Source organism: Homo sapiens, chromosome 4 (assembly GCF_000001405.40).
Source record: "Homo sapiens chromosome 4, GRCh38.p14 Primary Assembly".
In the NCBI taxonomy this organism is placed as follows: Eukaryota; Metazoa; Chordata; class Mammalia; order Primates; family Hominidae; genus Homo; species Homo sapiens.
Genome location: NC_000004.12, coordinates 54,747,084 through 54,759,975, shown reverse-complemented (window position 1 = coordinate 54,759,975; position 12,892 = coordinate 54,747,084). Strand labels below are relative to the sequence as shown.

Genomic DNA, 12,892 nt, shown 5'->3' with positions numbered 1-12,892 from the left:
TAAATCTAAGACCTGAAACTATAAAAATTCTAAAAGATAACATTGGAAAAATCCTTCTAGACATTGGCTTAGGCAAGGATTCGTGACCAAGAACCCAAAAGCAAATGAAATAAAAACAAAGATAAATTGCTGGAACTTAATTAAACTTAACAGCTTTTCCATGGCAAAAGGAACAATCAGCAGAGTAAACAGACAACCCACAGAGTGGGAGAAAATCTTCACAATCTATACATCTGACAAAGGACTAATATCCAGAGTCTACATGAAATAAAAAAAAATCCACAAGAAAAAAAACTAACAATCCTATCAAAAAGTGGGCTAAGGGCATGAATAGACAATTCTCAAAAGAAGATATACAAATGGCCAACAAACATATGAAAAAATGCTCAACGTCACTAATGATCAGGCAAATGCAAATCAAAACCACAAAGCGATACCACCTTACTCCTGCAAGAATGGCCATAATAAAAAAATAGTAGATGTTTGCGTGGATGTGGTGAAGAGGGAATACTTCTACACTGCTGGTGGGAATGTAAACTAGTACAACTGCTATGGAAAATAGTGTAGAGATTACTTAAAGAACTAAAAGTAGAACTATCATTTGATCCAGCAATTCCACTACTGGTATCTACCCAGAGGGAAAGAAGTCATTATACGAAAGCAGCAAAATTTATAATTGTGAAAACATGGAACCAACCCAAATGCCCACAGTTATATACATATGATTATATATATATATATATATATATATAAAATATATATATATAAAATATATATATATATGATGGAATACCACTCAGCCATTAAAAGGAATAAATTAATGGCATTTTCAGCGACCTGGATGAGATTGGAGACTATTATTCTAAGTGAAGCAACTGAGAAAAGGAAAACCAAACATTGTATGTTCTCAGTCATAAGTGGGAGCTAAGCTATGAGGATGCAAAGGCATAAGAATGGCCTTTGGGGACTCAGAAGAAAAGGGTGGGAAGGGGGTGAGAGATAAAAGACTACAAATAGGGTGCAGTGCATACTGCTCTGGTGATGTCTGCTCTAAATCTCACAAATCACCACGAAGGAACTTACTCATGTAACCAAATACTACCTGTTCCTCAATAACCTATGGAAACAAAAAAAAATTTTTTAAGAATAAGTGCACGCATTTATTGAGCAATTAACTGGTAGCAGGCACTTAAAATAGATATCCCTTCTTGTGGGTTGAATTGTGTCCCACCAAAGATATGTTGAAGTCCTGAACGTGACCTTATTTGGAAAATAGGATCTTTGCAGCTGTAATGAAGTTAAGGTGAGGTAGGTCATACTGAATTGGGGTTGCCCCTAACCCAGTGACTAGTATATTTATAAAAGAAAGGAGACTGAACACAGACACACAAAAACAAACAGAAAAGGGAGAAGAGAATGTCCTTTGATGTCAGAATCAGAGACTGGAGCGTCAGGCCAAGAAATGCCAATGATTGCCAGGAAGGAGTTTTTCTCTAGAATCTTCAGAGGGTGGCTGGCCTTGCTGACAACTTGATTTTGGACTTCTGGCCCCCGGATCTGTGAGAACATACATTTCTTTTGTTTTAAGCTACCTAATTTGTGGTACTTTGTTACAGTAGCCTGATAAAACTAATATGCTCCTGTTTTACAGTTGAGGACACTGTAACTCAAAGACATTATGCAACTTGCTCCAGTTTATGCAGCTAGTAATTTGCAGAAGCAAAAGTCAAAGCAAAGCTGTCTGGCTCTAAAGCCCATCCTGCCATTTTCTATCTCTGACCTTGACTTCTCTCCCGAGTCAAGCCTATAACATCTATATATGTACTTTATATCACTACTTCGATAACTAATAGGAACCTCATCCATGTCAAAATTAACATGTCAATAGTGAACTCTTGATTTTTCCCTTCCTCTTTCACCCCATCTTCCTCTTTCTCCCCATCCCATCCCAGTAGCTTGCATCACCATCCAGCAAATCTTTTAAGTGGAAAACTAGAGTCACCCTTGATTAGCCCCATTCCCTAATCCCTTATATTTAAATCATCAGGAAGTCTTGTTCACTTTACCTCCAATAAACCTGAATCTAACCATTTCTTACCCCCTTCACTGCAGACATGCTGGTCAAGTCAACATCATCTCTCAACATTATCTCTTGCAGGACAGTCCTGACTTCACTCTTGCCCCCTTATAATTTACTCTCTACCTTGTAACCAGGGTGACCTTTTAAAAATATAAGTTTGATTATATCACTTCCTGTTTAAAGTCCTCCAATGAATTCCCATTGCACTTAAATAAAAAGATAACTCTTGCTAAGTTAAAGTGGACATTTGTCATTTCCTAGGTTATCCAGAATCCTAATCCACTTTCTACCCTTGGGAAATTCCCCACCTTTTGAGTTTTGGGTGGTGGACTTTGCTTTTCACTCAAGAATACTTTATATACTCACTTTCCCAGGCTTTCACATTCTGAAGGAATAGGCTCATGACCACTCAGCCAATTAGCTGCACTTGCTCATTGTGATGGTTAATTTCACATGTCAACTTGACTGAGCCATGGGTGCCCAGATATTTGGTTAATCATTTATCCTGGGTGTGTCTGCAAAGGTGTTTTTGAATGAGATTAACATTCGAATGTTAATCTTCCCACCACTCCATCCAGGTGTTGGGAAGAGGCAACAAGGCTGCTGTCTAGTGATGACAAGGGTGGTAGTACAACACTGGTGTTGCAAGTGCCCAGCTACTGCCTGTGATCTGATCTCTTTTCCATATCTTTCCCTGGCAATCCTGAGGGACACCTAAGCTCCTTTCAACAAATTACTTTTCTAATATAATCAGCCATTCAGTCTCTGTCACTTACAAAATGGACTTACACACACGACTTAGAAGGGCTTGTATATACTGGTCACTGCCTCCTTCCCCAGCTTCATCACATACCACCCTTCCCACTCAGTCCCTACTCTCCACCTGTTGGGGTCTTTTTCCTCTAAATTCTTCCCATCTCCAGTCTTTGGCACTTGCCCTTCTGGCTGCTGGAATTCCCCTCCCCAGGTCTTTCTGTGGCTTCTTACTATTATTGAAGAACCAGCTCAAACAGCTCCTCTTCGGGGAGGACTTCACTATGTGATTTGAAGCAAATTCTTTCCCCATAAAAATCCCTGTGTTAATAACTGTCTTAATTTCTTTATAGCACCAGTAATTTCAAAGTAACTATAGCGCTATTATGTAAATGTAACTTATTCATGTTTTGACTTGTTATGGTCTACCTGCCCCCTTAGAAGTCATCCCAGGAGGGCAAGGACCTTGTCTGTCTTGTCAACGTTGCATCCCCTTGAATGCAGTCGATGTGCAGGAATCATTTGTAGAATGAAAAAAAGAAAAGAATGAAAGCCCCTCTCAGGAGATGCCCAGGCCAGACTTCTCAAAGGCCTTCTGCCCCAGCTCCAGGCTTACTCTTCATGCCTGAGCATTAATTTCTGAGTGTAGAAAACTCATGATTTTTTCCTTCTGAAGATTCCGGCTTTATCCCCTACAGGGTGTCAGCAGGGGTGGTTCTGTTCATATCAATGACTGCCATTTAAACCCTGAAAACTGTTAGAATGTTTGACAGTGAGAAGTTAGAAGACCAAAAGCCACGATCACCCCAAGCTACACATGTCATAAAGAGAGCCCTGGCTGTGTTGGAACAAAGGGGCAAACACTGGTATCATTCTCGGAGAAGCAACAATAACAAAAAAGATTTACTTATCTGTTCTGGTCTGTCCTAAGCCTATTACTATGCTTCTTGCCAGGGGCAGTGGGGCAGAGAGAAGAAGAAGGTCTGGTTTTTCAGGCCTTGGAGAAGTATCTGTAGAGCCAGCTTGGTTGAGTAGGCAGGGGGAGGAAGAACAGGGATACAGGGAAATTAAAAAGGGGAGGAGGCCGGGCGCGGTGACTCACGCCTGTAATCCCAGCACTGTGTGAGGCCGAGGCGGGCGGATCACGAGGTCAGGAGATCGAGACCATTTTGGCTAACACAGTGAAACCCCGTCTCTACTAAAAATACAAAAAAATTAGCCGGGCATGGTGGCGGGCGCCTGTAGTCCCAGCTACTCCGCAGGAGACTAGCGTGAACCCGGGAAGCGGAGCTTGCAGTGAGCCGAGATCGCGCCACTGCACTCCAGCCTGGGCGACAGAGCAAGACTCCGTCTCGAAAAAAAAAAAAAAAAAAAAAAAAAAAGAGGAAACAGAGGATGCAAAGAGCAGGTCTCAGGAGGCTGAAGAGAGATAGAGGAAAGGGGAGGAGGAAGCAGAGAGTAGAAGAAAGACGGAGGAAGGAAAAGGGAATTGGGGTCAAAAAAAGGAGAAGGAAAGAAAGGAGAACAAAACGTTACAAAAAAATCAGAGATAGAGAAGGAAGATGACAGGAGGCCAGAGGCAGAGAAGAAGGGAGGACAAGTACAGGGAGCTGGGGCTCCCGCATCGCCCCCCAAGCCCCACCCCTTTTCTTTAATTCCACTCACAGCAAGTTTCCTCACTGAGTTATTGAAAAATTCTGTTTTTAATCTGGATCCCAGGCACTATCTGTCCTTCTTTTCTGTACCCTGCAAACTCCAGTTCAATGCCCACAGTAAGCCGCAAGCCTATGCAGTGCATTTACCATATGCCAGACACTGTTTTAGTACCTTATCTACATTAACTCTTAATCCTCACAACTGTTGACCCCAGTACAATTTACCCCATTTTTTTCAGATAGGAAAACTGAGACACAGAAAACTTAAATATCTTGCCCAAAGTTACACAGCTGATAAAGTGATGAAGCTGGGACCCAATTCCACACAGTCTAACTTCAAAGTCTATCACCTCAAACATCTTCTCATTGATAAATATTTATTGAGTAGCTACTATATGACAGGCACCATAAAGTCTCTTCCGACCCCCCAGACAAAAGTAATTGTTCCCTTCTCTAGGCTTTTAAGGCATTGTGTATACCTACCCCTGATCCCATTGCAATAAATTATATATTTATGACCTCTATCTCCCAGGAGCCCATATATTTCTTAAGGACGCTGTCTATGCCTTCTTTATCAATGTATGTCTGCCACCTACTCTTGTGCCTCACACAGAGCAGGTATGCAGAAAATGTTTTTTTGGATGGAAGACTGTGGTGGTTAAATAATTTATGTTATCTGCTGTGACTTTGGAGCTAGTGGCTTAGATTCTAGAATTGTGGGCTTCATTTGACTAGTATGGAAAATGACAGATCAGCCATGAAGGCAGCCAAAAGAGAAGTGTAAGACTGTCTGCCTGTGTCCTGATTCATTTACCTCAAACATGTGCACCCCAAGGCAAGATTACGGGGAAAAAAAATTAAAAAAGAAAACAAGGGTGAGGGATTGGCAAAGCCAGGGTAGGAGGCATTGCACCATCAACTCCTATTTCCCAAGGAGCTATGCACATCCCAGGAGGGTTAGTCCTGTTACAACATTTTTGGGTTCTGAGCCCATGGCTGGGGCTGCAGCCATCATTTTCTGGCATCTAATAGAGAACCTCGATGGGATAGCATGCACCACCTGTTCTCAGAAGATTCACCTGCATTCACAGAAGCATAGACCCCAGAGATCAATCTGTCTAGTGGTTTTCAAAACCTTTTCTTGCTTTGAGTGCAAGATTGGGTTCTTCTAACCTAATCTATAAACCAGATAAATGTCAGGCAGCTCTAGTTAAAATAAGGTTAGAGACCTATCCACTCCCATCCTCATGCCCACTGAATATGTTGAAAACCATTGCTATATCACGGCCATCTCATTTCAAAGATGACAAATCCAGCTCCCACAAACCTTAAATGACCTGTGCAAAGCCCCTCAGCTGCTTGGCAGGATATTGGTGGGATTAGACAGAACTGAAGAAGGTTTTCTTTCATTTTGACTGTCTGCTTCCTTTCTTTCTGATCTTCTAAAAGTAACAATTAAAATAATGCTGCATATTTTCTAATCTGTACAATTTTCAGGGCATTCTCTGAATCTTGCAGCCAAAATGCTGCTACTTGTTAGGACCAGCCTCGTACTAGATTAGACAAACAGCAAAGCCTTGAGTTATGTTCTATGCATTTATATAACACTTGACACGTCTGAGAACTCTTTCAGATGTGGCAGTATAATTTGTTGAGAGATTAATTTGTGTGGCAGACAGAAGTTGCCAGAAGACAACACCCGTTCCTTTTTGTGGCCTTCATTTTTTAAAACCTGGGCTTATAAAATGCATTATGCTAGGTTTTCTCAGAGAGGGTAAGGGATATTTGGGGAAATTTCCTGAGACTCGCAAGGAAATAGGAGTTTTGCAATGCAGCAAGTAAGTGGGGCTCATGCATTGCAACACCACAATACTCTGGTAGGAATACTCCGAAAAGCAAAGAAGAGCCAGGTCCCAGGTTTATTGAGTAGCTACTATATGACAGGCACCATAAAGTCTCTTCCGACTCCCCAGACAAAACTAATAGTTCTCTTCTCTATGTTTTTAAGGCATTCTGTATACCTACCCCTGATCCCATTGTAATAAATTATATATTTATGATCTCTATCTCCCAGGAGCCCATCTGCTTCTTAAGGATGCTGTCTATGCCTCATTTATCAATGTATATCTGGCACCAAAGACCTGGCTCCCCAGCTGGTACAGGAGCAACAGAAATGCCTGGTTTCAAGGGACCATGCATGACTTTTAAATGAGGATCTTACATTGACCACTACCGACCAAAGGCAAAGAACCATCTCTCCTCTCTTACTGTGTAAGTCCCAGTGCCTTTCCACACATCTCTGGGGAAGAAAGGGAGCCCAATTCTGACTTAGATTAAATCTCTTGCCAGCTTGGTAGGACAAGGGGTGTACAGCAGACAAAATGTGATTTAGAAACATAAATGTCACATGTCTCTTAAAGGCAAAAATAAAGAGATCCTTATACCTACAATATAATGTGAGGTAGTTAGGGAAGGTGTTACTGTTATTCTCATTGTGTTAGTGAGATAACTGGGTCTCAGTCTTGTTTCATGTCCCAAGGCCAGTAGAATCAGTACTCAGCTCTAGTTTATTAATTTCCAGTCTCCTCTTTCCTCCAAGTGTTACTGTTAATATTTGTGTGAGGGAAAAAATAGGTATGTTGGATATAACATAACGAGAGGATATGCTACTTTTATTTTTTAAAAGGTGAAGGGATTGGGAGCATTTTGCTAATTATATCCCTGCCCACCCTACCTTAGACCGGAAAGGATTTATGGCGACTCACAAAAATACTTACAGTTGGATTGGCTCTTAGCGTTCATTGCAGCCTTCTTCTAGTTTGGTTGCAGTGCTGCAGAGTACTTGATGAGAAATATTTCCTGGACTCTCTTGAAGCTAGGATTCTTGCTGTGAATTCGATTCCACCCGTCAGCAGTACTTATCTGAGGTGTAGCAGGAGGAAGTGAAGTGGAGACGATCGTTTCCCTCCTGCTTCAGCTGCTGCTGTTGGGAAAGACGGGCATAGGAAATGGTGTTTTTCTGTATTACGTTGTCTAGCTCCTAGTTTTATGGGCATGAGAAGGCAGAGGCAGCAATCTTAGCAACAGTAGTTTCCTCACCTTTGGGATACAGCTACGAGGTGAGCTTTTGAGATCAATGATTCCAGTGGTGGCCTCCCAATTTCCATATCCTGGCTATGCCAGAGGCAGCAGCAGCCCTTATGGTTAGTTTAGCTGTGTTTTTCAAGAAGATATTCTTGGAGAACCAGCCTAGAGCCCACCATTCCAGCCCCTGATTAAGCACCTAATTCTACACTAAATCCCTCTCTGCTTGAGATAGAAAGGTCGCAGGTTTGGTATCTGTATCTTGAATGATACATACAGTTACATAAAATAACATAAATCTTTAAAACAAATAAAGGGAAATGAAATGAGGGAGGAAACAAGGAGCCAGGCACAAGATTAATACAAAATGAGTATCATCAAATGGTCTCCATTTGCAAGGGGTAAATCACTCATTTGGCTCCAAGCTTTCTAGGAGTAACTACAAAGAGAAAAAAACATTATTTGATTCACAAAATCCATTAAGCCAAAACATTCTGTTTCATGCGATTTCTTTCATGAGTCTTAAAAGTGCTGTTAGTGAAAATAATACAATAGAAATTATATGGGTCTAGTAATTCACTGGCCGATTGAAAACAAAAACAAAAGCCAAAAAAAAAAAAAACCACTCAGTAATACCTTAAACCTTTTATGTAAATTAATTCTATGAACATACATTCATTCCCCAATCTTTCAATGCCCTTTCTTTGATTAAAAGTCCTCTGATTTGAATTATGGTGCCATTTTTCTTATATAAATCACATCCACAATACATCAGCTATGATTTTGAATTTCAGTTTATTTAAATTGGAGTGTGAAATTACACAATTTTTGAAGCATTTTGATTATATATTTATTCTAGACTTTTAAATAGTATTTTCCTCATTAAAATTTTTTTATTTGTATATATGCATGGAGTACAGGTGCAATTTGCTACATTGATGTGTTGCATTGCAGTGAAGTTAGGACCTTCAGTGCATCCAACACTGGAGCAATGCATATTGTACCCACCAGAGCAACCTCCTACTATCCACCCCCTCACACCCCAACCCCTCCAAGTCTTCATTGTCTATCATTTCACAATCTGCTTCCATGTGTATGCATTATTTAGCTCCCACTTATAGGTGAGAACATGGTGGTATTCGTCTTTCTGTGTCTGAGCTGTTTCACTTAAGATAATGGCCTCCAGTTCCATCCACGTTGTTACGAAACATGTGATTTTATTTTTTTTAATGGCAGAATAGTATTCCATTGTGTATATATACCACGTTTTCTTTATCCAGTCTTCTACTGATGGACACTTAGATTGATTACTTATCTTTGCTATTGTGAATAGTGATGAGATAATCATATGAGTACAGGTATCTTTTGATGTAATCTCTTTTTCTTTTTTTGAAACAGGGTCTCATTCAGCCCAGGTTGAGGTGCAGTGGCATGATCTCAGCTCACTGCAACCTCCGTCTCCCGGGCTCAAGTGATCGTCCCACCTCAGCCTCCCAAGTAGTTGGGACCACAGGTGAGAGCCACCATGTGGCTAATTTTTGAATGTTTTGTAGAGACGGGGGTCTCACCATGTTGCCCAGGCTGGTCTTGAACTCCTGAACTCAAGAAATTCACATGCCTCAGCATCCCAAAATGCTGGAATTATGGGCATTAGCCACCATGCCTGGCCTGATTTCTTTTTCTTTGATTGGATACCCAGTAGTGGGATTGCTGGATAGAGTGAAAGTTCTATTTTTAGTTCTTTGAGAAATCTCCATACTGTTTTCCATAGAGGTTGTACTAATTTACATTTCCACCAACAGTGTATGAGTTCCCTTTTCTCCACATCCTCACTGACATCTGTTATTTTTTGTCATTTTTATAATAGTCATTCTGATTAGTATAAGATGATGTCTCATTGTGGTTTTAATTTGCATTTCTCTGATAACTAGTGATATTGAACATTTTTTCATATTCTTGTCCATTTAACTTGTTTTGTTTTGAAAAATGTCCTTTGCCCATTTGTGAATGGGATTATTTGTTGTTGTTGTTGTTTTTGTTCCTTTTAAATTCTGTATATTAGCCTTAAAGTCTTATGGCTAATAGATGGCAGAGGTGGAATGAAAACTCAACTCTTCTGGACTCCAAACAATAAACATTAATCATAATAATGTTCTTTTTTTAACAATTTCTTTAATTTGCGGTGGAAGCTGATGGATTAAACCCAAAGCATAATTTGGCAAAAGCATTTCTGGGGTTATGGTACAATATAACCCAATCCATACACACAGCTTTCTTAAGTTCATGAATAGAACTTGAATTTCAAAACAGAGGGCAGATGAACTGATTATTCTTTAGACAATTGTGCATAAGTATTGTTTCTATCAACCAGGCTTTTGATGGATTCTGAATGCCAGGGAGTTGGAGCTTATACTGCCTGACAAGTACCTGGAGTGCAGCTATTTTTGTGTGGTTAAGAGCAGGCTAATACTTTACCAATCAGCCCAAACTGGAGCAAGGATTGATTGACATTCTTGGGAGGAGGGGGGTTGCATTCATTGGAGAGCAGTTCAAAATGAAAGTGATAACCTATTGTTATCTGAAGGGTGAATGTCTAAAGCAACCCTGGTGTGGTTTGGCTCTATTTTAATCATAGGCAGCCAATCTGTAGAAGTATGTGTTTGATGGGAAAATAACTCCTTTTCTTCCAATTTCCTTTAGACATCTACAAAAAGCTAATAATCTTACTTTTAAAATACATTCAATAAAAATCTGTCCAGGCACACTAATATTCCTTTTACTTTCTCAGTTCATTCTTACTTACCAAAGCATATTATATTTTGAGATTTAACTAACCTTTAATGAGTACATGTGCCTCAACTGGCACTGCACTAGGCCCTCTTATATAAATTATCTTTATTTGCTAAACTGACCAAAATAGTATATCACATACTTCCCCCTGACTTAGCTTTTAGTCCAAACAAACAAATGTATGCCATCCTCTACATTTGGCAGAAGTGGACCAAAAATGATAAGATCTTAGACTGCCAATAGCCAACGTGACAAGTTCTTACCTGAAAATATCAGGTTTGTGGTAGACCCATACTGTGGAAAACTGTAAATTTAATCTATATGTGATGATATGGAGTGATAATCATAATACATTGTAAGTTAAAAATGCTAGTTGCAGAATATATACATGCAATGCATATATATATATATATGCAATGCAATGTTAGTTGCATATATATGTGTGTGTATATATATAACATATATATGTATATATATAACATATATATATGTGTATATATATATATATAAAACGTTGACATAAAAGGAAAGGAAGAAACTGAGGCAAAATTAATATAAGCAGAGAGTTTATTTGGGCCAAGGTTGAGGACTGCAACTTGGAAGCATAGATTCAAGTTGCCATGAACGTATAATTCAATTAGTGGCAGTTACAAATGGATTTTTAACGGAAAAAAAAAAAGGGACAGGGAGTTGATAGGACATTCATTGTTTGTCAGGAATTCTCATTGGTTTACAGAAATAACATTGATTAGTGATTGGCTATACATTGTTAAACTCTAGAGTGTGGGTTATAGTGTTTGATGTGGCATTATTAGATTAATTTATAGGCAATAGCAAGCAGGTTCAATGGGTGAATGCATAGCTCACAAAGCAGGGAAGTAGGATGTGATTGTTTTCTCATTTTAATGGCTTTTTAGGCCTAAAAGTTAGAAAGGGCTCACATTCCTCAGATAAAAATTCTTTGCCTTCCTTAATAGAATAATCCCATTTCTTTAAATAATAGATATAAATATATGCACAAGAATAGAAAGGTATGAAAGTTATTATATGAAAGTTAACATTGATTACCTCAAGGAAAATAAGAGCTGAGCAGATCTTTTGAAAATAATAGTATATTACATAAAAATTAAAAAGAAATTTAAAAACAAGAGCCTTAGTGCTGGAGAAATCTCAGAAACTTGTGGACAGGGAAGGTGTGCTTCCTTCCATATCTTCCTGTTTGAGTCAATAGAAGAGTCTGCATTTAAGAGACTAGGGAATGCCCCCAAGGTGCCCCAGGGACTGGAAGTCTTTCAGGAAGAGGAGACCTAAGCCACAGTCAACCACATCACGACAGGGTGGGATTTTAAGCTGCTGAACTGCAGGGAACTTTCAGTGATTTCCCAAATGTGGTCTGTGAAGGACTAGAGAGTCTGAGAGGTAGCTGTGGAGGAAGAGCTGGGCAGGCAAGTGGACTTCAGGGACCCCTGTCGCTATTGTCTATTTTGCTTATTGGGACTTTTAACTTAATTTGGAGTTCAGCAGCAACAACAGTGGAAATTTTCTGTGGAATCCATTGAGAAGGAATTTGGAGTTAAACAAAATTTACTTAAACTCCTTGAGTCTTAGTTTCCTCATCTTTGCAATACAGATAACTCCCTATCTCCTAGGGCTGTTGTGAGGATAGGATGAAATAATGCAAGTTAAGTGTTTAAGGCTTAATAAATGGTTGCTTAAGAAAGGAGGTAAGGTAAGTGGTAAATAGTAGCACAACTAAGGCAACAGGATGGGCTTGGGACTCCTTACAACCTGGGTCCTCAACAGGGACCGGTACTGGTCCATGGCCTGTTAGAAACTAGGCTGCATTGCAAGGGCAAGGGAGCATTACTGCCTGAGCTCAGCTTCCTGTCAGATCAGAGGCGGGTTTAGATTCTCATAGGAGCATGAACCCTATTGTTAACCAGTACATGTGAGGGATCTACGTTGCCCACTTCTTATGAGAATCTAATGCCTGATGATCTGAGGTGGAACAGTTTCATCCCAAAACCATTCTCCCCACCCCTGTCCATGAAAATAGTGTCTTCCACAAAATCGGTCCCTGGTGCTAAAATGTTTGGGGACTGCTGCCTTACACTGTACCATTGTCTTCAACTTTCCCTGTCATCCATAGATATCATGCATGTCAAAGACAGTTCAATTGCCACCAACATGTGCTCTGGGTGCCTGTTTATCCTTGGGGCTTCATCACTGTCTTCCTGAAAAAGCCGTCTCATTTTGCAAGGTCAGGAATCTAAATCCTTGTCAGCCTAGGAGAAAAGAAGGACATTCAAGGAAACTCATGTGTAGGAGGCATCCATGTGGAGAAGATCCCCTCTTGCATCCTAGGCCAGGGAAAAATATGAGGCCTGTATGGAACCCGGCTGACCTAGGTAGTCTGTCTTGATTAGAACAGGAAAATAAGTACATAGAGAGGCAGTTTGGCATAGTGGTTCAGAACCCAAACTCTGACCCAGGCTCCTTGGATTCCAGTCCTGCCTTGGCCACTCACTAG

At 40.1% G+C, this 12,892-nt stretch overlaps 1 long non-coding RNA gene across 5 annotated transcripts in view; it reads right to left on the bottom strand.

Moving 5' to 3' along the window:
- Positions 1 to 3,851, bottom strand: part of LOC105377657 (uncharacterized) — a 62,560-nt gene extending 58,709 nt beyond the window's left edge. For 3 of the 5 annotated variants that reach the window (XR_941055.3, XR_941057.3, XR_941053.3), the window contains exon 1: positions 2,447 to 2,577. This is a non-coding gene — a long non-coding RNA (uncharacterized LOC105377657). Of the gene's footprint in view, positions 1 to 2,446; positions 2,578 to 3,067 lie in introns of those variants that run through there. The other 2 variants (XR_941056.3, XR_941054.3) reach the window with 2 other exon arrangements.
- Positions 3,852 to 12,892: the final 9,041 nt, after the last annotated feature.